The sequence below is a fragment of the Homo sapiens genome, chromosome 2, assembly GCF_000001405.40.
Source record: "Homo sapiens chromosome 2, GRCh38.p14 Primary Assembly".
NCBI classification, from domain to species: Eukaryota; Metazoa; Chordata; class Mammalia; order Primates; family Hominidae; genus Homo; species Homo sapiens.
This window is the reverse complement of record NC_000002.12, coordinates 69,449,218-69,476,149: the sequence shown is the minus strand read 5'-3', so window position 1 is coordinate 69,476,149 and position 26,932 is coordinate 69,449,218. Positions and strand designations below refer to the sequence as shown.

Genomic DNA, 26,932 nt, shown 5'->3' with positions numbered 1-26,932 from the left:
TACATGTTTCAAAATCAACGTGTAAGGGTTTGCAAATGTAAAATATTGCTTCTCTAGGGTTTGGTTTTTTTGGTTTTTTTTTGTTTTGGTTTTGGTTTTGGTTTGGTTTTTCTTCTTTGCTTGCTCTGCACATCTAAACCTTAACCCTCTATGTTTTGTACTGAATTCCTATCTCTCCACTTCCAGGTGGGCACTCTAGAAACAGCAGTGGGAGCTCTGAGTCCAGTCTTCCCAACCTAGCCAGGTCTTTACTGCTGGTGGATCAGCTCATAGACCTGTAGCCGTGACCCAGTAGCAGATGCAGTTCTGTAACCTTCATACCGTAAAATACATTTTCATTACGGAGTTATGAAAAAAATGATTTTTTTAAAAAAATCTGCAAATAAGGGGCCCTCCAGCCCTTTTCTCCTACCCCTTGCCTTCTCCTGTAGAAATGATAAGGAAAGAAAATCACTTTGGCCCTCCAGATATTCCTTGGCCAGTTCCTCCTTGTTAGTTTGCTGTGTTTTCTCATTACCCTTCTTCAATAGCATTATCTTAAATCAAGCACTAGATGCCATGAGCTTCACCTCTGCTGGAATCAACTCCACCAAAAGCTTAACTGTAACTGAAACTAGTGAATTGACACTTTTGTCTCGTTCTTGCTAGGAATGGCCTCCCAGATCAATTCTCCCAACCCCCGTCTCCTTTGGCCAGATGCTGATGAATGTATTTCCCTGTTTTTGCTTTTTATCCTGATGCATTATCATGAGGACATGGCTACTTCAGTTGGTCTTAACTCTAGGCAGTAGCCTGGAGATGGGTGTGTGGTTTAAGAAAGGGTAAAACTTACTGACTGGTAGTATATATTTGAGAAGAGAAATTGAGCCCAGCTCTAGCCAACCAACTTTGACCTTGTTTGATCATAGACTTAGCCAAGGGATTTTACACCCCATGCAACCTGCCCAGCATTCGTCCAGCTTTCTGGCTTCCATTGAACCGTGATTTCTCAGATCTGGAGACGTGACTGCAAGTATTTGAGATCCTTGGATACAATGTGTACGTTATATAAATCCCAAGTATTGCCATTCCTTTTCATGTTAACTGTTCCAAGTGGGATCTCAGAATTAGACCAAAACAAGACGGTGGTAATATGATACCTTTTATTAGAAGACTTTTCACTGGGGCGGGGGTGGGGGGAGGATGGGGAGGGGAAGGAATTGTAGCAGAAACAGATGTATTTTTCTTGTGATTTTTATTTTGAATCAAATATTGTAAATTGTGTATAAATGAAGATGCTGAATAGTTCTGTTTCCACTTGGCATTTCAAGTCTGATATCAGGTGTCTGTACAGGGTTTTGATTTCTTTCCCTTGTATAACTACACAACAATCCTACAGTGTAACATATGGAATCATTTTGAATAGACTTGTGTGCTATAAGCTTTCAGCAGGTCCTCTGTCTCTAGAATAAGCATGTTGTTTATTTTCAGATAATCAGAAATAAGTGTGCTGACAAGCTGGACACAATCTGGGTGTGCCCAGCTTACCTTTCTTTCTGATGTTTAAATTGAAGGCTGCAGCCAATGGAATATGTTCAGCTGGTTTTCCTTGGCTTCCTAGATTAAAAAAAAATAATAAAGCATAGTTCTTTATTAACTTTAGGATATTGTTCATAAAATAAATAAAGGCCCCTGCACTAACATGACAACATGCCTCATGGTCACCCTCTCTATATGTACTTACTCATTAAAGTGTATTTTATTTCCTTATGTGGAAAGCACTTTTATAAAATCACCCTTTTGAAAAGAAGTGGGCACAGAGAACCCCACTCCTGTTCTTTTCCTCTAGTGCCATTGTCCATCATCAAAAGGGAAACTCTTAGTTAATCAGATCTGTACAAATAAAATTCCAAGTCCATTTGCTTGTTTTGCTATCTAGTACTTTTGTTTCTTCTTCCTCACATTTGCACTTTATGGGGGAAAAAAGTTTAACAGCAACAACAGCCTATAAAACACTGCATTCTGGAGGGCAAGGTTTGACCCTAGGAATGTGCGAGTAGCCTTTGAAAGGCATTGGAGGAAAAGTCTGAATCTTCCAGCCTTCCTTCTGTCTTTAAATACTTCCCGTGCTGGCTGAAACAAGATGAGCTAGGTAAAGGCCTCTAGTTGAATAACAGACCATTTCCAAAACTGAGAGAGGCACAAGCTTCCTGCCGAGGATTAAAAAGCAAAAGATATCCACGAAGGGCTCTCTGTGGTTGGATAGCAGTGAAAATAGGACTTGGTTTACCCCTTTATGGACAGGAAAATTGCTGCAGGTCAGAATTGTATTCTCTTTCCTGGACATAGAAAGAATGTATAAATTAATGAAGGAAATGTTTATTTTTAAATAAGAATAATGTTTGAGTTCTATGTTTTCATATTTGATTTTTTTCGTATATACATGTTAGAAATATAATGAAATATCTAGTTTCTCAATTTAATTGAAACTATGAAGAGTACAGTTTAGAAATTAGGTATCTCTAAATTGTTCTTTTCATATATTACCCATAATTACATTGAAATATATTATCTAGTCATTTGGCTCAGTAAAGCTTAATGGAGGCAGTTAATGAAAATGAGCAGACTAGAAGCCAGAGACGGCAGTAGAAGCCTAAGGGAGATAATGACAAGAAATTGTCTTGGGCTTATTTAGAGTAAGGCCTCCTCAAAGGGGAGAACTATTTTTCTGTTAAGGAACACATATGAGTGCTTTGGTAAACGGAGCCTTCCTTGGTTTAGAGCATCATCCCTGAGCTGAAAGAGTTTATTTGAGTTGAGCATAGTGTCCTGGTACCTGTGGAATCATAGCCTGAGCTACAAAGGGACCTTTGAGACCATCCTCTAGTCCACCATCCTCTTCATTTTACAGGTGTGGGACCTGAGCTGGATTGAACAGGGTCGGGGGAGAAGAGGCCTGGGCAGGACAGGCCACCTGGGATCTCATCCTGGCCCTTGCCAGCCACTGGCTGAGTGACCTTCAGCAGGCACTTCACCTCTCAGAGTTGCTGTTCCTTAGAGTTATACGATGGGTTTGGACTAGATGGTCTTTAAGATTATAGAAGTATAGGGTCCTAAGTATATATTATTATATTGAGAAGGGCTATGAAGGATTTATATAATCCTGATGTTCTTCAGTTATCTTCTGTAGTTCCTGCTATTACGGTAGCAGTGTTTACATTTTAAAGAATTATAATGGGCTTTTACTAACTTGCTCTTTCTTGATTATCTGAATAGAAGCCTAAATCATAATCTTAGAGATTTTCCTTTTTAAGTATTACAGAAACACATGCGTGGACACACACCTACCTATTCTAATAAAATGGTATCAGAAGATTTCTTTTTAAATGTATAATCAGGCATCTACCAGTTTAAAACGGGCAAATACTATAAGCATATGTTTCTGATTTGCTTTTATTCCAGCTATGTAAGAGGAGTAACTATAGCAGAAAACATGACAAATTGATTTTTCCCTTTACAACATTCAAATGAGTCCCAATGTTTTCAAAAATACATACCTCAGAGGAGATAAGGCTTAAGTGGACACTTCTAAGTATGATTATAATTATTATAATTAATGATTTCTTTAGCAGACATATCAGAATTTTGACATCTAATTAAGTGTTGTTCCCCTCAATGTCATCTAGTTTTACTTAAGAAGTTAATACTTATTCTAATGATGCTGCCATCCTTAAAGTTATTTTTGAAACTCCTCTCCTTAGAAATAATATCAAGGAAGGTAATAAGGTATAAGAAAATCAGCTATATTATTTAATTAGTATCACTTTGAGAAAGCACCTGGAAGTATATTCTTTCTTTGTCTACTTTTTCTACTACTCTTGGTTCTGAGTAACATTTAGCCATTTCCAGAAAGCAAATTCAACCCTGTAAGATGAAGAGTGGTTACTGTTGAAGACAGTAAAAAGGATAATCCACAAAAAATTCTCAGAGAGGACCTTATAATAGAAAGTGAACATGATTAAGACTTAATTTCTGTAATTTTCTGAATAAGGAAACTTCTGTGATTCCTTAGTCTTTAGAATGGTTTAAAACATTGAAAGATATGGGTATTAAAACACCTCTGAAAGAAGTTGTCACTTTGTTCAGTGTTATTTGATATTGGACTTCGCTCTTCCTGAATTAGAATTACACAACTTGGATTGCTAATACTTGTGGAAAAACAAACCCAAGAAACGAACTACTTTCTCAAGATGTAATATTTGTTTTATTATTAATACTTTTGGTTGTTTTGATTACTTATTTCCTACTCTCCTGACAGATAATTGATCAACCAATATAACCTTCCCCAGGTTAGGAACAGTTCTGCCTTCAGCAGTGCTGTGGGAATGAAGGGATCTTTGGGGCTGACAGCCTATGATGTGGAGGGATCTGCACTCAGCTAAATAAATACATGCTATAGATACCTTGGGCCAAAATAAAGTCTCTCTTGATAAGGTTTTTCTGTGATTTCCCAGAGTCCTTAACCTTCTCTGTCTGCAAGATTATCAGGCTCCCATAGCCACTAACTTTGAGCTTTGGGATGAAAATGACAGGATTGCCCAGTGTGCCGGGTTAAGCAAATTAGAGGCTGCCTGGCAGAACAGAAAAACTATCACATGAATATTTAGAATGGAAGCTTTCCTGAAACACTCCAGATACTGCAAAGCTATCTTTATTCCTCTCTAAAGGCTATAATTTTATCAACACAAAGTCAGCCTTTTCTTTTTCCACATTAGTAATGTTTCTGAAGTTGGATGTGCTTAGATTTCTTAAATCAGAATGAGTGCTAGGAAATCTATAACAAGAAACCTCTTTTGCTTCTCCCAGATTTCCTTTCACTAATACGGGATAGGGAGGCTCCTTGGGTAATGCTAACCTATGCAAAGAAGTTACCAAATGGTGGTAGTTGCTAGAATTAAAGACACGTTCTTGGTTCACACTTTGATGTAGTGACCTGAATTTACTCTTTTCCTGTGAGTATTCTACTCTGCCCTATTGCACTCTCCTTTGTCATGTGGATGTGTGTTTATCATAGGTCTTTAACGCGTCCTTCCCAAGAAGACAAAGCATACAGTTGTACATGAAGATATCTTATGCAGTAAAAACGTGAAATTTGAACATTGCTGCACAAGTATTGTATAAAAAAAAGTCTGTAAAGAACTTTCTTATGTAAACATACAGGGGAATAAAGACTTTTATCTGTTCAAATGGGAGCATGATGTTTAGAGATGTAAATAACTTAAAATAAGTTGCTCTTTTCCTGAGCTGAAAACCCACTTTTTTGCAGAAAGGATTTAATCACAGTATTGAGTGACAATAAGTACCTGGGCACAAGAAAAGTATAGCTACACACTGAGGACATATTAATGAATCATGGCTACCTGAGAGAGTAAAACCCCTGTTTTAGTCTCAAGGAGAATAAGACGCCTGCCAGCCTACACTGGATATGACCAGACTCAGGGTTGTAAAATGGAGCGCAGGTTTGCAGCTTCCCTCCTCTAACTTAATCCCTAATATACCCAGGCCAACTTAATTAAACATTTTGTGTTGGCAAGAATAATTTTATCCCCAGTGAGAAAACTCACTCATTTAATTGCCTCATTGGCCTGAGAGGCACAGCTGGCCATTTTTGGCTTCCATGAGGTCCCTCATTTCCCAGTCGTGGGTTTTAATGCAGCTACCTAATATATGGTGGAACCAAATGCTTAATTTTGTTATGTGAGCTAGAAGGTCATGGTAATTATTAGTTTGATGTACGTCTCTTGATTTCCCCAGTTTGGTTCTAAAATTTTACGTTTCAATTGCTGCTGCATTTCCAAGTTCTTGTGAAGGGATATTTTGCTTTCTGTTTACTAACTATATGTGAGAAGGCTTCTTCTCAATGCTCCAAGTCTTCGTTTTCTGTTTTTGGCAAGAATCATATCTTTGATACTCCCTGTAACCGTTCTTTCAGTTTTTGGTATGAGGAAAAGTAAACTTCTGGTGTTGTGTGATGTATTTCATTAAGGAATATCCAGCCTGACATTTAAGTCTTCAGATTTTAATTCTGTAGGGAGCATTCTGATGGCCCTCACTATGTCAATCAGATGGAGTTTCCAGGGGAAACCCATCCTAAATGATTCAGCACTTTGGGTTGCTTTGGAAGTGAATAGGGAGCTGGTGAGGATAGTTGCCAAGTTGTCAGGTATTTTAGGAACTCCTTCTCTTCCCTGAAGCATGTGAGTTCTTGCTGAAATCTACATAATTTGGAGCCTCAAAATAGACTAATATGGAGTTACCCATATTGAAAGTGTCAACGTGCCTAACCTGGCACACAGTCCTACATCAGAGCAAGAAAAAGAAGTATGTTTTGACTTCTTGCTTAATTTTATGTGTGAAACCAAAATAAAAAGAGGCATGATCCAGTTTGAGGGAATTATAACAAAACCCTACGTTAGGCTCTATGATAAGTAAGACCCTGTGCAGACTATGAAGCCAGGCCCTGGGCTTTAGCCCCTGAGGTACAACAGGCAGTGTTTACTGAGCTCTATGGCCACAGGGTATCTGCTATGACGTGCCATTGGTTACCAAAGGAACTGGGTCAAGGCATGTGGTTAGGTTAGTATAAATCCTTCAATGCTAGTAAAGAGACTGCTTCAAACACGTTTTCTTGTTGACACAATGCTACCTTCATATAAAGGAACTGTTCACCCTGAAAACACATTTTCCCTGTAAGAACACATTCACATACTCAAAAAAAGACTTTTATCTGCCAACAAGATTTAATGGTTACCTTCTGTTTCTAGTATATTTGGAATTTATCCTTCTCTCGACTACCTTGTTTCTGGTGCTGCCACCACCAGAATTCCTTAAGGGAATGTGGAGGTCTGGGCTTCCCCCATATTCTCTGGCATTTCTTTGCCCTTCAGAGTGCCAGGCCTGGAGAGTTGCAAAGTGTGGTTGCTCTCCGCCTCAGCCACACTGTACCTCCTCTAACAAGAATAGAAAGGTTAAGGGACTTGGCCTTCTCAGGACAACCCTTTAAATGTACTTTTCCATTCCTACAAAGCCTGTTGATGCTGAAAGAAAGATAGGAAATAGCTCTTGTCCTTGTTTTGAAGGACAGGAGACTAATTTTCCCTTCAAACTTGATATTCTGGTGTTTTTGTGACTGTTTTTGTAAATTATTCAAAGTTGTTGGAATTTTAAGTCTGATTTTCCCAGTACTCATCATGAAGGTCATAGAATATGCTCTGAGTTGGAAGGTTTTCCAAATGGGTTCTCGACCAAAAACCCACTTTTTAACAAATAATTTTGATGGGTTAGACATGTTCTTCCATCCTCTCCAACCCTGAATATGGGCACATACACACACCCCTTGGTACTTCCTAGTTCTCAAAATGTAATCTAGCACTTCAGGCATCCAAAGTGCCCCTGGTTCAATAGATAGCTGCTTTTTTGCCAGTCTCTGTGCACAAATTGTTTTAACTGAATTCAGTTTAAATTTCCAAAAAACACTGACTCTGTTCAAACTAGTGTTCATTGGATTATTGACCTGTATGATGCCAGAGTTGGTCACTGGCTTGACTAAGTTTTCCATTTTTTTTCCCTAAGAGATATTTTGCTCTCCTGCAGAACAAGCTTAATAACATCAACTTTCAAGGTAGTTTTGGAAGATGAGAAATTGTGCTTTTGTTTTGGCAACTGAAAACTTTGTCCAACTGATACTATGTGAGGAAGGTGGTTCAAGGAGTTTTAGGGCCCTCTTGTCCTTCTTTAAGGCTCTGCAAACCTTATTTTGGAAAACTTATTTTTCTCCCTTTTATTTGAATTTCCTCCCAGAAATTATCATCTTGGTATCACTGAGACAAATCTAATATCAATTTACTTGCCTGAGAAATTAGGATTATGTCTGTCCACATAAATCGCAAGGAAGAAGGTATTCTGTTTATTTCCTGTCCACTGACTGATGCTTTCGTATCACCATGTAGCTGCACATACTAAAATTATAATACAAGGAAAAATTTATTCTTTTCAAAATCTTATTCTTCAAATACTATTCTGAAAGCCATTTGGCACCAGTACAGAATTTAACTTAACGCCCCAATCTGGAATTCACTGAACGCATTCAAACTGTTAGAAAGGAAAATAAAAATGGAGGACAAACACATTTTTGTTCTGTTTCTGAAAACAATATTTAAGGTCAGAACTGTTTAAAAAGAAGCACTGCTAAAAAGTTATAGGATTCAGAGAAACATAGTATTTTTGTACAGTATCTTATAAAATGTTCAGACCTCTCTCTACATTCTCTTTACAATGTAATGTCTCTAAGTGACTGGTTTCCCAATAAACTGATTTTAATGCCTCTTCTGCTGTGGTCTGTGTGCTTAATTCATGCAGAAACTTTAGCAGGGGATAATTTTTGGCAGAAATTTCTGCTAGCTAATGGTTTGCATAGGAGGGGAGAGGGTCAGTATGGGAAGGGGATCATTGAGTTCCATCTCTACAGAGGTTCTGGGTCATCTATGGCTCCAAATCATTGTATCTAATATTCTTATCCTGGTGGGTTGGGAAACTCCAGTAGTATCTCTTTACTGAGCCCATGATGAAATGATACCTTTACCCCCAACCACCCTTTCTCTGGATTCTTCTTGCTTAGTTACATATGCCTTTTTCCTGCCCTCTTGCTAACATGTGCCCAATGACATACTTCTAACCTGCTAATATTTCTTGGAAGGTAAGCTCTCTTGCATTCTGATAATTGTCTATTTGATTTTAAAAGCCAGAGCACCCTGAGGCACCTCTACCTAGATAGAAATAGACTAGTATATTGGAGTTTGCTAATGCTTCTGTAATGGCCCATGCATTTTACTCCTTCTGCTTAAAGAACTTTATGGCAGATTCATTTAAGCAGAGGAGATCTTTATGAACTTAGAAGACTGAAAACAAAATTCTGGGGCAACTCCAGCTGAAGGTGATTTATTTGGTCTGATTTTGATGCTGTATGCTCCCCTCAGAAGGTACCTTCAGTATTTATATTTTGGGCACTCGTATGCTCTTTGAGTAGTGCTTGTGATGTAAGTCATCAAGTAAACTTGCATTTATCAAGCAGCCACATTCTGCTTCTTTTCAGAGAGTTTGTCCCTCTGCATGTGGCGCGGATGACCACATGCCAGATTCTGAATTGAGTCATCCCCAGACAGTGTTTCTACATAATCCAAAACTGTCATGGTATATGTGGAGATGAATGACTGGGTTTGTTTTCATTCCATAATGAGCCAGTGCCAGGTAGAGCAGGTGTCCGTGCCTGGCCCTGTGTGTAGGAGCATTGCATAGTTACGCTGAATGTCTGTGTGCCTAACATCTTCATCTCCTTTCCTGTACGTCGTGCCTATCATGTTCCAAAACGTGAGACAGTGGTTGATTGTGTTCCAGTTTGTGTGCAGTTTCCTTGCCTGACTTTTATTTTTATGTTTTTCCTGTTGCATTTTCAACATCTATTATTTGGTCCCACAATGTTTTTGCCGCGGGTTGACCATTAAATGTTCCAAATAGAGTTGAATTGACCTACACATTAATTCTGCATTTTATGCTTTTCTAGATCTCCAGAGGGAGTCCAATCCCTGTCCTGTAATAACTGTAGAGCACTTTAAAGAATCACTGGGTGTTAAAGGCCTTCCGCTGTATCCAGACCCCTCCAGAGTACCTGGCACAAAGACTCAGAACAACTTAGAATCTGACTACTTGGCCAGAGATGGCCCTTCAAGCAACAGCTCATTCCACAGCAGCGAAGAGGAAGGGACTGACCTTGAAGGAGACATGCTGGACTGCAGTGGGTCTCGGCCTCTCCTTATGGAGTCTGAAGAAGAAGATGAGAGCTGCAGACCCCCCCCGGGGAAGCTGGGAGGAGCCGTTCCATTCGCTCCACCAGAAGTCTCTCCTGAGCAAGCAAAGACAGTGCAAGGTGGAAGAAAGAACCAGTTTCAAGCCTTCACACAGCCAGCCACTGATGGGCTCAGTGAGCCAGATGTTTTTGCCATAGCTCCCTTCAGGAGCTCAAGGGTTCCAAATGATGACATGGACATTTTCTCCAAAGCCCCATTTGTCTCCAAGAGCAGTATGGCTCCTTCCCAGCCAGAGGAGTCAGACGTGTTTTTGAGAGCTCCTTTCACTAAGAAGAAAAGCATGGAGGAGTTAACAGTTATCCAATGCACCTCCCAGGAGCTGCCTGCACAGACCGGTCTCCTCAGTCAGACAGGTGATGTCCCCCTGCCCGCGGGCCGTGAGAGAGCTGTGTACACCTCTGTCCAAGCTCAGTATTCCACAGCTGGTTTTGTGCAACAGTCTAACCTCCTGTCCCATTCTGTACAAGCAGCAGACCATCTGGACAGCATCTCTCCCAGGGGATCCTGCCTGGAATCTGGGGGTCATTCTAATGACAGAAACAAAGGACCTCAGCTCCAGAAAGAAGCTGTCTCAGGCCCCATGGCTGGCAAACCATTCCGCCCCCAGTCCTTATCCAAGTATTCCCGTCACTATAGCCCAGAAGACGAGCCAAGTCCAGAAGCCCAGCCCATTGCTGCCTACAAAATTGTTTCACAAACCAACAAGCAGTCGATAGCTGGGTCTGTTTCTATCACATCCCTTTCCTCCAGGACTACGGAGCTGCCAGCTGCTGATCCATTTGCTCTAGCACCCTTCCCTTCAAAATCAGGCAAGAAACCCTAGGAGCAAAACCTGAGCCTCAAGCCTCTTGTCTCTATCCCACCCTCAATACCCGCCATGGCACTCCCAGCTTAGCCTTCTGAAGAAGAAATATTATCAGTTCTTATATTTCAATTCCCTGCGTCAGAGCAGAATTTCTTGAGTCAACAAACTCAGTTGCAGTGATATTTAGTTGAAGCCCCTTTAAGTTATGTTCATTTTTGTTTGTTTGTTTGTTTGTTTATATTGATTTCTGGACTTGGAGGCATTTTCATCTCCTTCACAGAGGTCATCCACTTCCACCAAGAACTCTGCTTTCCCCCCGCCCCACCCACAGAAACTGTTTAAATCCTGAAATACTTCTTCACCCCAATCCCAAAGGGGCCCTATTGTTGCTAGTTTTAATTCCTGTAGCTCCTGTTCTAAGTCATGCCCATCGAAGAATCAAGATTAGTCCCTCCACTAAATCAAGATTTAGTACTCTTGAAAAGGGGAGATGTCTGGAAAGAAGAGCAAGATAAAAACCCTGCACATCAACAGGAAGTATAATCCTGCAGTTACTAATAATTCCTGTAGAAGCAGCAGCTCTAGGAGTCTCCAGATCTGATTCTCAGTCTGTGTGCAAGCCAGGCTGGCTCTCGTGCATGACTGTCTATGGGTGTGGAATGTACGTCAGAGCCTGTGTAGAGATACAGGCAGATGGGCTAACTCCTCATGTCTAGTCATGCTGGCAGGGCTTTCCCCACATCCATGCTTTTGAAATTAGTGTGAGTGTACAGGTTTGTGTGTGCATGTATACGTGTGTGTGCACAGGAAGCATTTCCACTTGAGGGAAATCCTGCCCCATCATGCCTACCTCCACAATGAAATCACTCGTTTTTTGGTGTTTGCTCGCCTAACTGACTTGAACCCCATTTTATTTATTTAGTTTTTTTCTCATGGCAAAGTAGAATACGTTGGAAGGTGTAGGGAAATCCTGCTGGAACTGGTGTTTCAGAGTAAATCTTTTTTCTCTCCGGAATTTCTTGTTTTGCTATTAACAAATTATATTTACCTGATTATGAAAAATTAATTTTCCTTATACATTTTCCCCTTACAACACTAGAAAAGAGCACCTTGTTACAGTTCCGGCCTCTCAGTATGTGGGCTAAATGCCAGCATTAGGGAATTCATTAATCATGAGACTAGGCTACAAACTAGGCTTGCTTGTTTTGGGGTGGTTTTGTTGTTGTTGTTGTTGTTGTTGTTGTTGTTTCCAAATCTCTACTGCCTTTTGAGGAAATGTAAATCTGAGACATGGAAATAAGTGTTTGGGAGAATGGAAAAGAGCTGAATCAGGTAGGCATGAAAACTTTTACATTCTCTATCCTCTTTAGATGTTGAAATAGGCCAGACAGGTTAACTGATGTTTTTTAAAATTGTCTTTTATTTCTGGAAAGATCTGACTTATTCCTAGCTTTTTTCATACCCTTTATTATTAGTGCCTTAAAATAAAGCTGGCCAGGTGCAGTGCCACACACCTGTAATACCAGCATTTTGGAAGGCTGAGGCAGGAGGATCAGTTGAGCCCAGGAAGTTCAAGACCAACTCTGGCAACACAGCGAGACCCTGTCCCTTCAAAAAATAAATAAAAAAATAGGCTGGGCATGGTGGCTCACACCTGTAATCCCAGCACTTTGGGAGGCCAAGGTGGGCAGATCACAAGGTCAGGAGTTTGAGACCAGCCTGGCCAACATGGTGAAACCCCATCTCTACTAAAAATACAAAAAATTAGCTGGACGTGGTGGTGCACACCTGTAGTCCCAGCTACTCAGGAGGCTGAGGCAGGAGAATCGCTTGAACCCGGGAGGCAGAGGTTGCAGTGAGCAGAGATTGCGCCACTGCACTCTGGCCTGGGCGACAGAGCGAGTCTAAAAAATAAAATTAAATAAAATAATGAAAAAAATTAGCTGGGTATGGTGACATATGCCTGTAGCTACTCAGGAGGCTGAGCTGGAAGGATCACTTGAGCCCAGGAGTTTGAGGCTGCAGTGAGTTGTGAGTCCAGCCTGGGTGACAGAGTGAGACACTGTCTCCAAAAATATAATAATAAAAATAAAGCCTGTATCTCAATGGGAAGATTTCTGCTAAGGCAGTTCAACTCACTGGAAAGAACTGCTGCATTAGGTTTCAACTTTAATGCTTTCTGTTACTTCTAGTAAAGGTTAAGTGATTTTTCCATTAGCTGTAGAAGTTTGGAGAGCTATTTACCAAGCCAGATCAATGATTTAAAAATTATTGGAAATTCATCTAAGAATCAAGTCTGAATGCCCAATTCTATTGCGGTTGATTAGGTGTGATATTCTTTAAAGTTCAGGAATATTGGCAGTAAAAAATGAGCAGCTACTTTTCAATACTTTGTCCTTTTTTGGTGGTCTCTGCCTATTTCAAATGTCCTGATCAAAAGATAAATAATTGGCACTGTGCCAAGGTTTGGTTTTCCAACTAAGGTTTCAACTGTGCCAGAAACCTATGTCCTTCACTTTGGTGGATGCTAAATGTTATTCTAAGAATATGCTTTTTCCCAATTCTCCTTTCTGATTTTTATGTATTAGTGGATGCAAAATTGTCTTTCTAGTTGAATGAATAATTTCGGCTAATGCACGTGGAACTTTGCACCCCAGATTCTTCCCATGGTCATTATCAAGTGAAGCCCTCAAAAACATGAGCGAAGAGCCTAGAAATACTCAGGGAGATTTCTCACCCCAACTCAGAAATTTTTTTTTTTTTTTTCAAGACGGCGTCTTGCTCTGTCGCTCAGGCGGGAGTGCAGTGGTGTGATCTCGGCTCACTGCAACCTCCATTTTCCGAGTTCAAGCGATTCTGCCTCAGCCTCCCGAGTAGCTGGGATTATAGGCACACACCACCGCGCCTGGCTAATTTTTGTATTCTTAGTAGAGATGGGGTTTCACCATGTTGGCCAGGTTGGTCTTGAACTCTTGACCTTGTGATCCACCCACCTTGGCTTCCCAAAGTGCTAGGATTACAGGCGTGAGCCACCGCACCTGGCCCAGAAATTCTTTTTTTTTTTTTAAATTATTATTATACTTTAAGTTTTAGGGTACATGTGCACAATGTGCAGGTTAGTTACATATGTATACATGTGCCATGCTCGTGTGCTGCACCCACTAACTCGTCATTTAGCATTAGGTATATCTCCTAATGCTATCCCGCCCCCCTCCCCCCACCCCACAACAGTCCCCAGAGTGTGATGTTCCCCTTACTGTGTCCATGTGTTCTCTTTGTTCAATTCCCACCTATGAGTGAGAACATGCGGTGTTTGGTTCAGAAATTCTTAAAGTAAGAGATCATTCTAATTCCCCTTTCCAAATATTCAGGATTATCTCTGTAACAGCCCAGCAAAATGTTTTTCCTTTGGTTATTTGATAATTCCCTTCTAATCAAGTGACTATTTTAATTCTCAAGGTGCAAATCAGGATAAAATCATGGTGATTTTACTACATAGTTGAATACTTCGTCAAGTATGAGCTTGTATCCTTTTTAAATTTTTCACTGGAGGCCAGGCGCGGTGGCTCACGCTTGTAATCCCAGCACTTTGGGAGGCCGAGGTGGGTGGATCACTTGAGGGTAGGAGTTTGAGACCAGCCTGGCCAACATGGTGAAACCCTGTCTCTACCAAAAATACAAAAAGTAGCTGGGCGTGATGGCACGCACCTGTAGTCCCAGTTACTAGGGAGGCTGAGGCAGAATTGCTTGACCCAGGGAGGCAGACTTTGCAGTGAGCCAAGATTGTGTCATTGCACTCCAGCCTGGGCGAGAAGAGCAAAACTCCGCCTCAAAAAAAAAAAAAAAATTGTCACTGGAGACATGATGGGTGGAGACTCTACATACCTTCTTTGAATACAGAAACGGATGCAAACACATGCAAATTACTTTTTTTTTTTTTTTTGGTGATGCATGAAAAAACTTTGACTTGTGGATTACATTAATTATTAGTAACAGTTAGATTCTGCCGACTTGTATTACAGTAGGGTCTTATTTCCTTAAAGAGAAAAAAAAATACAGTCATGCCCCACTTAATGATGAGGGAGACATTCAGAGAAATGCATCCTTAGGTGATTTTGTCATTGTGTGAACATCACAGAGTGTACTTAACACAAACCTAGATGGCACGGCCTACTACCTACCTAGGCTATATGGTCCAGCCTGTTGCTCCTGGGCTACAAACCTGTACAGCATGTTACTGTACTGAATACTGTAGGCAGTTGTAACACAATGGTAAGTATTTCTGTATCCAAACATTTTAGACATAGAAAAGGTACAGTAAAAATATGGTATAATCTTATGGGACCATCATGGTATATGTGGTCCATCATTGATGGAATCGTTTTTATGCAGCACATGACTGTATATAATCAACAAACAACTCTACTTTCTTGTTTTCGTTTGTTGTGTTTTTGCTTTACACATTTGATAGGGAACATAGAAGTTGTGACCTTTCATTTCAGTGGAAAGCATTGAGCCAGAATATATTTATTCCTAAACCATCGAGCCACACATGCATTGATGAACCCTGAAAGAATCCACAGTAATTGACTAACAGGCAGTACTGAATGAAAGATGTCATATGTGGTGAAAAATATTTAATATATCAGTTTCTTGGGCTCACATACAGCCCTTTAGTTCCAAGTGCTTGGTTAGATTAGAAAATGGGATGAACACAATTTGATGCTGAAGCAGCTGCTGAGCAGCACCCAGGGAGTCTAGGTCATACGCCCTATATTGTTTTCGGCCCACTTATTGTTGAGTTGAAAAGTCTCATATTTGTAGACTAGAGTGTATGTGTTTAGAGGCTCATGTTGTATCTGAGTTTTCTCTGGCAACTAAGATCTCTTTCTAAACGTTCTAGAAAGATACTGGTATCTTACTGGCCCATTATTTAGTAAGTTTTAGAATACATGTACATCAGTGTTTTCAACTGCTTGGTGGACATTTCACTGATGCATAATCAAAGTAGCAGATTATAATCATCAGAGTGATCTGACAAGGAAATTCTGTATTTGCTTCCATAAAGAAAAATAATCAAAACATATATCAGATATAATATATATGCAGTATATCACATAGGAAATTTTATTGTAGGAAATTAGAGAAGGATGCTACTCAATTCATTCTCTAGCAGGAAGAATACAGCTTAAAAATCACTTGGGTCCCTTTAATAAAGAAAAGTGTGATTCTGTGTTGTGTGTTTGGAACTGAAATTGGAGAACACGTGCCAGTCGACTGTGAAATGGTTGCTGGATAAAACCACAGATGTGGTTTTATCCGAGAAATGTGGGACTGAAATTATTTTGATGAGAGGTACATAAGAGAGCTGCAGAAAAGACTGTAGCTTCTGAGGAGGCAGGAGTACCTTGTTAATATCCAAACCACCCCTGAGTTCTAATGTTCCAACTCCACCTAAACGAGGAATTGGAAACTTTAAATGGAATTATCTAATTTAAATTCTTAGTTTTTTCTTTGTCTTTCTCAGCTGATACTTGTAGTTTTGTTTTGTTTTTTAACCACCAAGAACACTTGCAAGTTTGTTACTGAAAACATCACTAAAGGAAAAGAAGAGTTTCAAAATGCTTGAAAAGTAGTATGTGGTTGGGAATTGTTTTTGTTCAAGTCCCTGGAAGTCCTCTTGGCTTAGCTCCCTTGTTCCTGTTCCCACTTCATTTCCTTACTTAACATTCCCCTATTTTGAGCATGTCAATAAGTGCATGATGAATGGCACAGTTGAATGATCATGTTAACTTTAATTGCTTCCTTTGTTGCTGTAAACAGTTTCTTGTTAAGTTTCAGCCAAGTCTGTGACAATCTCACCAAATAAGAATGAAATGGGCGGGGTGTGGTGGCTCACACTTGGAATCCCAGCACTCTGGGAGGCTGTGTTGGGCCGATCGCTTGAGCTCATGAGTTCAAGACCAACCTGGGCAACATGGCAAAACCTTGTCTCTACAAAAAATACAAAAATTAGCCAGGCATGGTGGTGCACACCTGTAGTCCCAGCTACTTGGGAGGCTTAGGTGGGAGGATGGCTTGAGCACGGGAGGCAGAGGTTGCACTAAGCCAAGATCGTGTCACTGCACTCCAGCCCAGGCAATAGAGCCAGACCCTGTCTCAAAAAAACAAAACAAACAAAACATGAATGAATGAAATGGCTCACCTTCCCTATTATGAACTAGAAGAAAGGATGAAGGAAGGTTGGCAGGACCCCAGCCTTACTCTGTAGTGACAACCCAGAGGTACTTTTCCCGGAATGCAGGGTCAAGTTTATGTGTGAAGGGACTCTAGAATAGCTGGTAAAAATGGCTACATGGTAACCATTCTTGACTTAGTCCAGTATTCCCATAATTTGTAATTCCATAAATTTATTCTCAGCTGTCCCCCAGCCATTTCTAATAGAAGGATGTGTACCCCAGTTTTGACAATGTTCTTGAAATCAAGTTAGTGTTACCTGCATTGCATTATAATGGAACTATATGTACATGTTAAAGGGATCCGTTTGATTCCTTTCGGCAAGGAATTGCAAAAATAGTTTTTACCAATACCAGTTAAAATAGGATAGGTTAGACTTTGGGGGCAGGGTGAGACAGTGCAGCCTTTTCACTCTGAAATGGCAAATCAGCTGTACTCTTTGAGTCTACCAGAGATTCCTATTTGAGTGTGAATGGGGTGTGTGTGTGTGTGTGTGTGCTCATTCATCTTCATGCTTTCTTCCATGGTGTTAATTCAAGCTCTCCTAATAAAGGTATCCAAAGAGTACTGAGAAGTGACCATAGGTATTTGGCATGAGTAAATGTAGTTCCTTTTGCCAAAAAAACTCTCAAAAGTTACAACTGGAGTTCTTCGCGATAAAAGGTTGGGGAAATCAGCCATGGCTTTAGCCTTGTTCCCAAGTACACATCTTCTTATCCACAAGGATGAAACTCTGTAGGGCTCACCCTGAGGGCTCATGTGTGGCATTGAGAGGGTAGCAGTGACCAGAACACCACAAGGCCCACAAGATGTTTTGAATGAGGGAACATTTAATGTCATTTGTTAGGAGATAGAAACCAAATAATAAAGGACAAGGACCACGCTCATTCCGTGGAGAAGAGGTGAACTCCCTCTGCTGACTATTTGGAATGGACTGAATGAGGAGGTCTCTCCAGCCAGAAGGAGTATTGAGGTCATCAGGCCTCAGAAAACAATGTACACATAATCTCGGGCTGTGAACAAGAGAAAGGAGGGGGGGAAACATGAAAGTCAATCTTAACAATTTTTGCAATACCTCTTATTTGCAGACCATTGGATTTATGTTATTGCACTCTCGGTGTGATTTATCGTATGTATCTGATAGGTTTTATGAATTGTTTTGAGTTGTAAACTCCTATACCCTTTATTAAAATGGACCTAATTAAGTGATTTATGCTTTGTGCAATTTCTTAAATCAGATCTCTCTAGGATTGAAGGGATCCATAGGTATCTTTCACTTAGTGTGAAGCCTAGTAGTATACTTTTATATTCCTGAAGAGAGACCAGCATTAACATAAAGAGAGAAGTCTTAGGAAAAAATATACCTAAGAATTATTTTTAAAATTCATACTGTGAAGGAGAATCTGCCTGCCTATTTCCTCTCCAAATTTCAGAAAATAACACAGAGTGCTATTTGCCTGAACTTTAATGAGCTTGACTTTGTTATGATTCAGGGAGAACTGGTTACACCTCTGCTGAGTTTGCAGAGGTGACATTTGAAGAAGACCCAGGAATCCAAAGAGTTCTGGTATTATATGCATGAATGAAGCCAAAGTTGCCTACTTCTGAAAATTTAAGACCTAAATATACACCCCACCGAATTCTACCATGTGAAGTTCTTATGTTTTTCCTATTTCAAGTTAACATTAAGCAAAAGCATAGTCTTTTTTATGTGTGCCTCCGCAGTTGCTCTGGGGGAAGCCCTTTTCAGACTGTCCCTGAGCCTTCTGCTAAGGTGTGCCCTGCCTTCCATGTAGGGAACACAGGAGTAGCAAACACAAGCTCCCACAGGTGGACTCTGCATTCACTTTGTGTCTCACTTTTGCCCCTGAGGCTGGTTGGCAGTAGACCAAGGAGGTGCCCTTATATCACCCCTTAACACCCAAGTAGGAGGAACCAGGGTGAGACCCCAGGGGAAAGCCATGAGCAGATGGTTTAGATCTGCTTCTCTAGATTTAAGTCAAAGTTCTTTCCCCCTCTCCTCTTATGTATTTTTCCTTGAGTTCCTCTTTTCTTATATTTGAGTAGTAAGATCTAGAGGGCTTAGCTTAGCATGTCAGTTTACATGGAAGGAGACCAAGTAGTCCCTCAACCTGCTGTTATATGAGCTTAGCCTAGGGGCCCAAAAAGAGACATATTCCCTTCAGAATGCAGCCCAGGTGTGGACATGGATGAAGAATTAATGGGAGAAGCACTTGGGCATATTTGAATGCTCAAGCAGCTAAGCTCAGCAGCAGAGGAGAAACAATCTGTAGAGAAGGAACAGATGAAGGAATAAGAGAGTGAAAAGTAAATGGACAACAAGCACACCTAGCACTCAGTCATAGTTTTTAAATACCATTCTCTAACGAAAAGAGCCAGGGCTCCATGGAAAAATGGCTGATTCTAGGGCTGGAGCAGGAAATATACAAGATGAACCAGGAGCATCTTGTAGTGTAGTGTCAGAAGGTTAAAAAGGGCTTTAAAAAAAAATGGGGGCCAGGTGTGGTGGCTTATGCCTGTAATCCCAGCAGTTCGGGAGGCTGAGGTGGGTGGCCGAGGTGGGTGGATCTCTTGAGGTCAGGAGTTCGAGACCAGCCTGGCCAACATGGTGAAACCCTGTCTCTACTAAAAATACAAAATAGCCAGGCGTGGTGGCGTGCACCTGTGATTCCAGCTTCTCGGAAGGCTGAGGCAGGAGAATCGCTTGAACCCAGGAGGCGAAGGTTGCAGTGAGCCAAGATTGTGCCACTGCATTCCAGCCAATATATATATTGGCCAGGCATGGTGGCTCACTTCTGTAATCCTAGCATAGAGGAGGCCAAGACGGGAGAATCATTTGAGGCTAGGCATTCGAGACCACCCTGGGCAACACAGTGAGACCCCATCACTACCAAAAAAAAAAAAAAAAAAAAAAAAGAGTCACAGGAACACAAGAGCCAACCTGAAAGAACTCCCATGGTCAAAGCTAGAACAAACTGAGCAATAAAATAAACACTGCATTATTAGATGATAACACATAGGATAAACATCCATGAGCCCATACTGATATAAAAAATGATTGAATAAACAGGATAAATGGGGAAGAAAAACAAATCTCTCACACAGAATTTCAATTAATCTATTATTAGATTATATTCCTCCTCACAGGAAGTGGAACTCAAGACTTTCTGTATTGAAACATAGCCACAGTCTTTCATTTATATATTGCCTATGGCTGCTTTTGCTATCCAAGGACAGGGTGGAGTAGTTGCAACAGAGACCATGTGGTCGGCAAAGACAAAAATATTTACCCTATGGCCCTTTACAGAAAACTGATTTGACTCCCGCTGTAATTCTTGCAACCTGCTCCTCTTACCTCCTGCCCCTGATAAGTACATTTTACTCAGCAAGCTGGGGTCCCCTTCCCTGCTAGCGCCCCTCATTAGCAGAATCCCTCCAGGAAGGCTCACCCTGGCTTGCTTCTGCAGTGCCCACTTGGCCCATGGAAAGTTTTGGCATCCTTGTCCCACCAAATATGAGAGTGCAAGCCTGTCTCCTGTCCCTTCTCTCTTTGCTGTGCCTCTTGTGGGCTACTTGGACCCACCTCTCTTCTCTGGAATTCATCCCCAAACTCCTGAGGACACTCCAAGGACCGTCTTACCATATTTTACCCCAGTAATTGGGGAGACTGACCCAAAAGTTTCTGCAGGGCAGGAAGCCCGCAGTCAGGGAGTGAGACCTCACACTCCTCTAATCATAGGCAACCTAGGGCCTTTAAGGATGATTCTCAGTTGGCTTGTCTTACGTAACATGGATGGGTTGGGTGGAGGTGTCACCAATTTTTTTTTTTAACATCTTTCAGGAAGCCTAACCACTTTAAAATGTTAGAGGCCTTTGATATCACCCAGTGTCCTTGACTTGGAGGCTTAAGCCAAAACTCCAAGACAGCAGGAAAGTCCCATTCCATATCCTGTTCCACAGGGCTACCATGCTGGTTAACTCCAGGGAACGATTCACATTGCATCTTGTTTTATTGTGGCCTCTAGAGTTAAACAGGGCACACCCTTCATAGCCAGAAGAGGTAGCCTTCCAGCTACATATACATATACATAGCTACAAACCCGAATGACCAGGTGTTCCCAGGTATTCTCTTAGATCTCAAATCTAGGAACACCTGGCTTTGGAGGTAAAAGGGGAGAAGTAGTTTGATGAAGGAAATCAAGGTTTTGTTGGTTTTTGGGGTAATCATTAGGTAAAAAATAGAAGAGCGCCAGGCGTGATGGCTCACGCCTGTAATCCCAGCACTTTGGGAGGCCGAGGTGGGCGGATCATGAGGTCAGGAGTTCAAGACCAGCCTAGCCAACATGGTGAAACACTGTCTCTACTCAAAATACAAGAATTAGCCGGGTGTGGTGGCACATGCCTGTAATCCCAGCTACTCGGGAGGCTGAGGCAGGAGAATGGCTTGAACCTGGGAGGCGGAGGTTGTGGTGAGCCAAAATCACGCCACTGCACTCCAGCCTGGGCGACAGAGTGAGGCTCCATCCTAAAAACAAACAAACAAACTAGCAGAAAAGCTACAAAGCTTGCAGAGAAATTTTGGGAAATACAAGAGCAGGAACTTTGTTTTTAAAATGTTTATTCCAGGTCTGGCATAGTGGCTCAGGCCTGTAATCCCAGCACTTTGGGAGGCTGATGCAGGAAGATCACTTGAGGAGTTCCGAGAGCCACCTGTATAACATAGTGAGACCCCTGTCTCTACAAAGATAAAGATAAAAAAATAACTGGGCACTGTGGTGTGCACCTCTAGTCCCAGCTACTTAGGAGGCTGAGGTAGAAGGATCACTTGAGCCCAGGAGTTTGAAGCTGTAGTATACCATGGTCACACCACTGCACTCCAGCCTGGAAGACAGAGCAAGACTGTGTCTTAAATAAATAAAAGTTTTTTTCTGGATTATTTAAGAAAGAAGATATTTTTCCCTCTCAATCAACAAACCAAAGACAATGCAGAAGGGGCTGTATGTAATTAGAGTGATAAATGGAAGGTATTATCTTTGTTGTCATTTGCTTAATCCTTTTTTGAGACCTTCACCAACCTCACAGTACAATGTGGCTGTGTCTCTGCTCCCACCTTCTCTGTGGAAAGTCCCATGACTGACATCTCTCTCCATCCATTCCTGGGATCATGTGTGCTTGGAACAGATTCTGTTCTGCTACCATTTACTAATTTGCTTCTTCAACTGCTCTGCTGCCTGCGACCAAATCAGCCCCAGAAGGCTGTTAATAGAACAATTTTAGACAAATTAAATTTAACAGAGCTTAATTGAGCAACGAATGATTCACAAATCAGGCAGCCCCCAGAACCAGAGTAGGTTCAGAGCGACTCCAGGACTGTCACATGGTTAGATACGATTTATGGACAGAAAAAGGAAAGTAATCTATAGAAAATAAAAGTGAGGTACAGAAACAGCTCAATTGGTGACAGCTGGGGATTTACCTTATTTGACCTGGTTTGAACATTTGACTGCCTGTGGTTGACTGAAGTTTGGCTCCTGTGACTGGCTGAGACTGCTTGTTAGAAGAGTCTGTTAAGAAATCAAGTTGGGTTACAGTTCACTGTGTCTAGAGAAACCTAACTTAAAATATGCAAGGGGGCAGCTTTAGGCCAAACATAACAATTTCCCCCTTTTGAACAACCTCTCAATCTGAGAGATTAACCAAAACTTTAGGCATTGATATCATTCTGTCACCATCATACATGGAGTTATTTGGTCTCAAATTTCACTGAGAAATAATAGAACAGTGGGTTTTGTTTTGTTTTTTTGAGATAGAGTCTCGCTCTGTCACCCAGGCTGGATGGAGTGCAGCGGCGAGATCTCGGCTCATTGCAAGCTCCGCCTCCCGGGTTCACGCCATTCTCCTGCCTCAGCCTCCTGAGTAGCTGGGACTACAGGCGCCCGCCACCACGCCCGGCTAATTTTTTGTATTTTTAGTAGAGACAGGGTTTCACCGTGTTAACCAGGATAGTCTTGATCTCCTGACCTAGTGATCCACCCACCTCAGCCTCCCAAAGTGTTGGGATTACAGGCGTGAGCCACTGTGCCTGGCAGAACAGTGGGTTTTGTAAGGTGGGAACAAAGAAACAGAACAATAGAAAGAAAGCTGATTGGGTAACATCAGGTTACTTTTTTGTAAGAGTTACAGCATAGGAGGACTTCCTTGTCATGCTGGAATCTCCTGTTTTCAGGAGAAAAAAAGAAACAGGTCTGTTTTGAGGTCTATCTGCCTCCTACAAGTTTCAGTTTGATTACATGGCATTTAGCGTGAGTGACTCCATTTTAGTTTGGTCTGGTCTGTTGGGGCCTAGTGCAGGAGCTCAGTCCAAAACAATGACCTCCCATAATTTTATTTAACAAGGCCAAGGCACCTATGGTGTAATGTCTTCCTACTTCGCCTGTCCAGATGCGGGCTGGTGCAACCTGCTTCAGACCCTGACATCCAATCAGTAGTTAACTGTGCTCCACAGGTTCCACTGGGGTACAGCATGCCCCTCTCCTTTCACTGGCTAGAAAGCAGCAGGACCCTGGGCTCAGGGCTCACACAGTCTTAGATGTTTTAATGAAACAACTTCCTTCTTTTCCTTTATTTCAAACACTCTCCCTGAGCCTGAGGCAGAGTTCATGGGGGCTGGTCCAGAAGACAGTCTGAGTATCTGGGCTGCTTGACCTTGGATCAAACATATGAATTGACTCTTTCCTCAAGACAGGAATTCTTCCCCAGGATGAATTCTTTCCCAGAAGCGTTCACCATACCTCAGGTAAATATTTCTTTGTTTCATCTGCCACATCAGTCCAGCAGAAATACTCAAATCCATCTCATTTCTAGGAATAACACAGATTAGTCGGCTGACCTCAGGTGTCACTCCTTGTAGAACATCAGGAACGGGTCTAAAAGTGTTATAGGAGAATAAAGCAACAGCATCGTTGTAACTACCTATGTGACAAGCTCAGTTCAAGGCACTTTGAATGCATTTTCTCTAATCACTCAACCATTTTCAGTAGGTATTGTTCCCTGCATTTTACAGATTAGGAAAGTTAGGCTCATCCATTCAACAAGTTTTTTTTGTTTGTTTTTGTGAGACGGAGTCTTGCTCTGTCGCTCAGGCTGGAGTGCAGTAACACGATCTCTGCTCACTGCAACCTCTGCCTCCCGGGTTCAAGCATTCTCCTGCTTCAGCCTCCTGAGTAGCTGGGACGACAGGTGTGTGCCACCACGCCTGGCTAATTTTTTGTATTTTTAGTAGAGACAGGGTTTCACCATGTTAGCCAGGATGGTCTCGATCTCCTGACCTCGTGATCCACCCTCCTCGGCCTCCCAAAGTGCTGGGATTACAGGTGTAAGCCACCACGCCGGGCCTCAAGAAGTATTTATGGAGCACTTACTGAATGACAGGTGCTGTTCTAGGCATATGAGATACATCAGTTATCAATATAAGCAAATATCTCTACCTTTGTGGGGCATACATTCTAGACAGGGGAAACTGATGGAAAAATAATTAGCATAATAATGAAATAAAATATATTTATTAGAAGATGATTAGTTCTACAGAACTTCAGAGAGGTTTCAATTTAGCAAGTATATCTTGAGTATGTCTTAAATGCCAGGCACTAGGAATAAAATCAAGAAGATAAAGGTGGCATGCCTATATGGTGCTTACAGTCAAGTGATGCCATAGAGTAAGGGGCAGAACTAGTAGTTAATGTCACTGCTGACATCCATGTTGGGAAAGATAACCAGAATGAGTGACTGAGGCAAGTATCTCAGTCAATTGAGGTTTATTAAGCCAGCTTCAGGGAGTGTCAGGGAAAAAAACGTGAGCCACAGATGTATCTGTGGCTGTTTTTCCAAAGAGGTTTTCAGGAGGTTTAGTATGTATACTTTTCCTTAAAGGGGAGGAAGGCACGTAGGAAGATGGGCAGGTAGGTGTAAAGGTGAATGGTTACATTCTTAGGAGACTTTAGTTAGTGCCCAGTAAATCTACATTTTTACATAAGATAAGATGAATGTCTGAAGAAAAAAGGGATTAAAGGAAGAATCAATTATGCAAACATCTTTGGGTAGCTGGAGGAATGACTGATCTCATTTGTCTTTGTTCTACACCTGGGAAGATAAGCTTGTAATCAACATTATCAGTGTGGAATGGAACAGACTTTAGTTTTAGGAGCGAGATACACTGGAAACCTAAAGTTACAACTGGCATGTCCTTGTTTATGGGAGGCTGGCAAAGAATTTACTTATGCATGATCTATGGGGAAGTTATTCGGAGATGCCTGAGGCCTTTTACCTTTCCATGCGGGTCTGGCTAACGCATAATGCTAGTGACAGCTATTCATTTGCAAGAGGGGGTTGCATAACTCAGCCTCTTTGGAATAAGGAGTGGAAGTCCTGAAATTTTTTAAATTTTCTGTCACATGTCCTCGTTCTTCAAAATCTTTCAGAGAAAAAACCCTGTAGAAGACACGAGTTTGTGGTTGTAAGTTTCATCTGATTCCAAGTCGCTAGGAAGCCTCATTCCTAGGGGGTCATGTCCTACGGAGATGGGGGAGAAACTAAAGAAGCAATGCCAAATAACAGCAACAAAGGGAAAGTAATCCTGGAACCTGATTCAGGCTACGTAATTGTCTCCTCAATTAAGGCAATTCTTTGGGCAATCATCTCCCTAACTCTTTTAGTTGTACATTGACACATTATAATGTCTGAAGCAGTCTATAGACTAGTTTTTCTAGAGTCTCTGAAGCATCTTCAGATTGCAGTGGCAATCTGACGGATTTTCCTGGATTGTGACTTGAATCAGGTGTTTAAGTGAACCCTTTGCATAGTTCATATTCAATAGGCACAAAGATTGTTTATATATAAATTGCTGTTATTTCTCCCAAAGTTTAAGTTCTCTGGCTTCTGCTTGTAGAGCTTTAAGAAAAGCATAGTTTTAATTTCTCATGATTCATCAGAGGCATGTGAACCAGAGCAACTCCATCGTGAGTAGGGGCTGGGTAAAATAAGGCTGAGACCTACTGGGCTGCATTCCCAGGCATTCTAAGTCACAGGATGAGATAGGATCTCAGCACAAGATACAGGTCATAAAGACCTTGCTGATAAAACAACTTGCAGTAAAGAAGCCGGCCAAAACCCACCAAAACCGAGATGGCGACAAGAGAGACCTCTGGTCATCCTCTCTGCTACACTTCCGCCAGCACCATGACAGTTTACAAATACCATGGCAATGTCAGGAAGTTACCCTATATAGTCTAAAAAGGAGAGGCATGAAGAATCCACCCCTTGTTTAGCATATCATCAATAAATAACTATAAAATTGACAACCAGCAGCCCTTGGGGCTGCTCTGTCTATGAAGTAGCCATTCTTTTATTCCTCTACTTCTTTTTTTTATTTTATTATATTATTATTATCATACTTTAAGTTTTAGGGTACATGTGCACAACGTGCAGGTTTGTTACATATGTATACATGTGCCATGTTGGTGTGCTGCACCCATTAACCCGTCATTTAGCATTAGGTATATTGCCTAATGCTATCCCTCCCCCCTTATTCCTCTACTTTCTTAATAAACTTGCTTCACTTTACGGACTCACCCTGGATTCTTTCGTACGCAAGATCCAAGAACTCTGTCTTAGGGTCTGGATCGGGACCCCTTTCCAGTAACAATTCCAAATCAAGAAAATGGAAGAAAAAGTTGAAAATGTTAGTTTGGAGACTTGCAGCCAGGAAATAAGTCTGAATCCAGTCCAAATTATAGGCAAATAATAAAAACTCAAAAACAATGAATAAGGCTAGAATCTAATAACAGGTGTCAGGCCTCGGAGCCCAAGCTAAGCCATCATATCCCCTATGACCTGCATGTATACATCCAGATGGCCTGAAGTAACTGAAGAATCACAAAAGAAGTGAAAATGGCCTGTTCCTGCCTTAACT

The 26,932-nt window shown here is 41.4% G+C and overlaps 1 protein-coding gene and 1 long non-coding RNA gene across 8 annotated transcripts in view; one reads left to right on the top strand and one right to left on the bottom strand.

Annotated features, from left to right (window-relative positions):
- AAK1 (AP2 associated kinase 1) overlaps window positions 1-18,153 on the top strand; it is a 185,743-nt gene extending 167,590 nt beyond the window's left edge. For 2 of the 5 annotated variants that reach the window (NM_001426746.1, NM_001426745.1), the window contains exon 17: window positions 9,599-18,153. In NM_001426746.1, coding sequence (NP_001413675.1) covers window positions 9,599-10,725 — 1,127 coding nt within the window. In that variant the 3' untranslated portion in view covers window positions 10,726-18,153. Of the gene's footprint in view, window positions 1-186 lie in introns of all 5 variants that reach the window. The other 3 variants (NM_014911.5, NM_001371575.1, NM_001371577.1) reach the window with 2 other exon arrangements.
- Window positions 18,154-22,109: 3,956 nt separating this feature from the next.
- Window positions 22,110-26,651, bottom strand: LOC124906020 (uncharacterized). Of its 3 annotated transcripts, none has more exons than XR_007086829.1 (3): window positions 26,593-26,651; window positions 22,442-22,529; window positions 22,110-22,196 (listed from the first exon to the last, which is right to left on the bottom strand). It is a non-coding gene; the product is annotated as an uncharacterized LOC124906020 (long non-coding RNA). The 3 variants fall into 3 exon arrangements; XR_007086821.1 differs by having other exon boundaries at window positions 22,130-22,221; XR_007086836.1 differs by lacking the exon at window positions 26,593-26,651 and adding an exon at window positions 25,289-25,393 and having other exon boundaries at window positions 22,130-22,221.
- Between the last annotated feature and the right edge of the window lie 281 nt (window positions 26,652-26,932).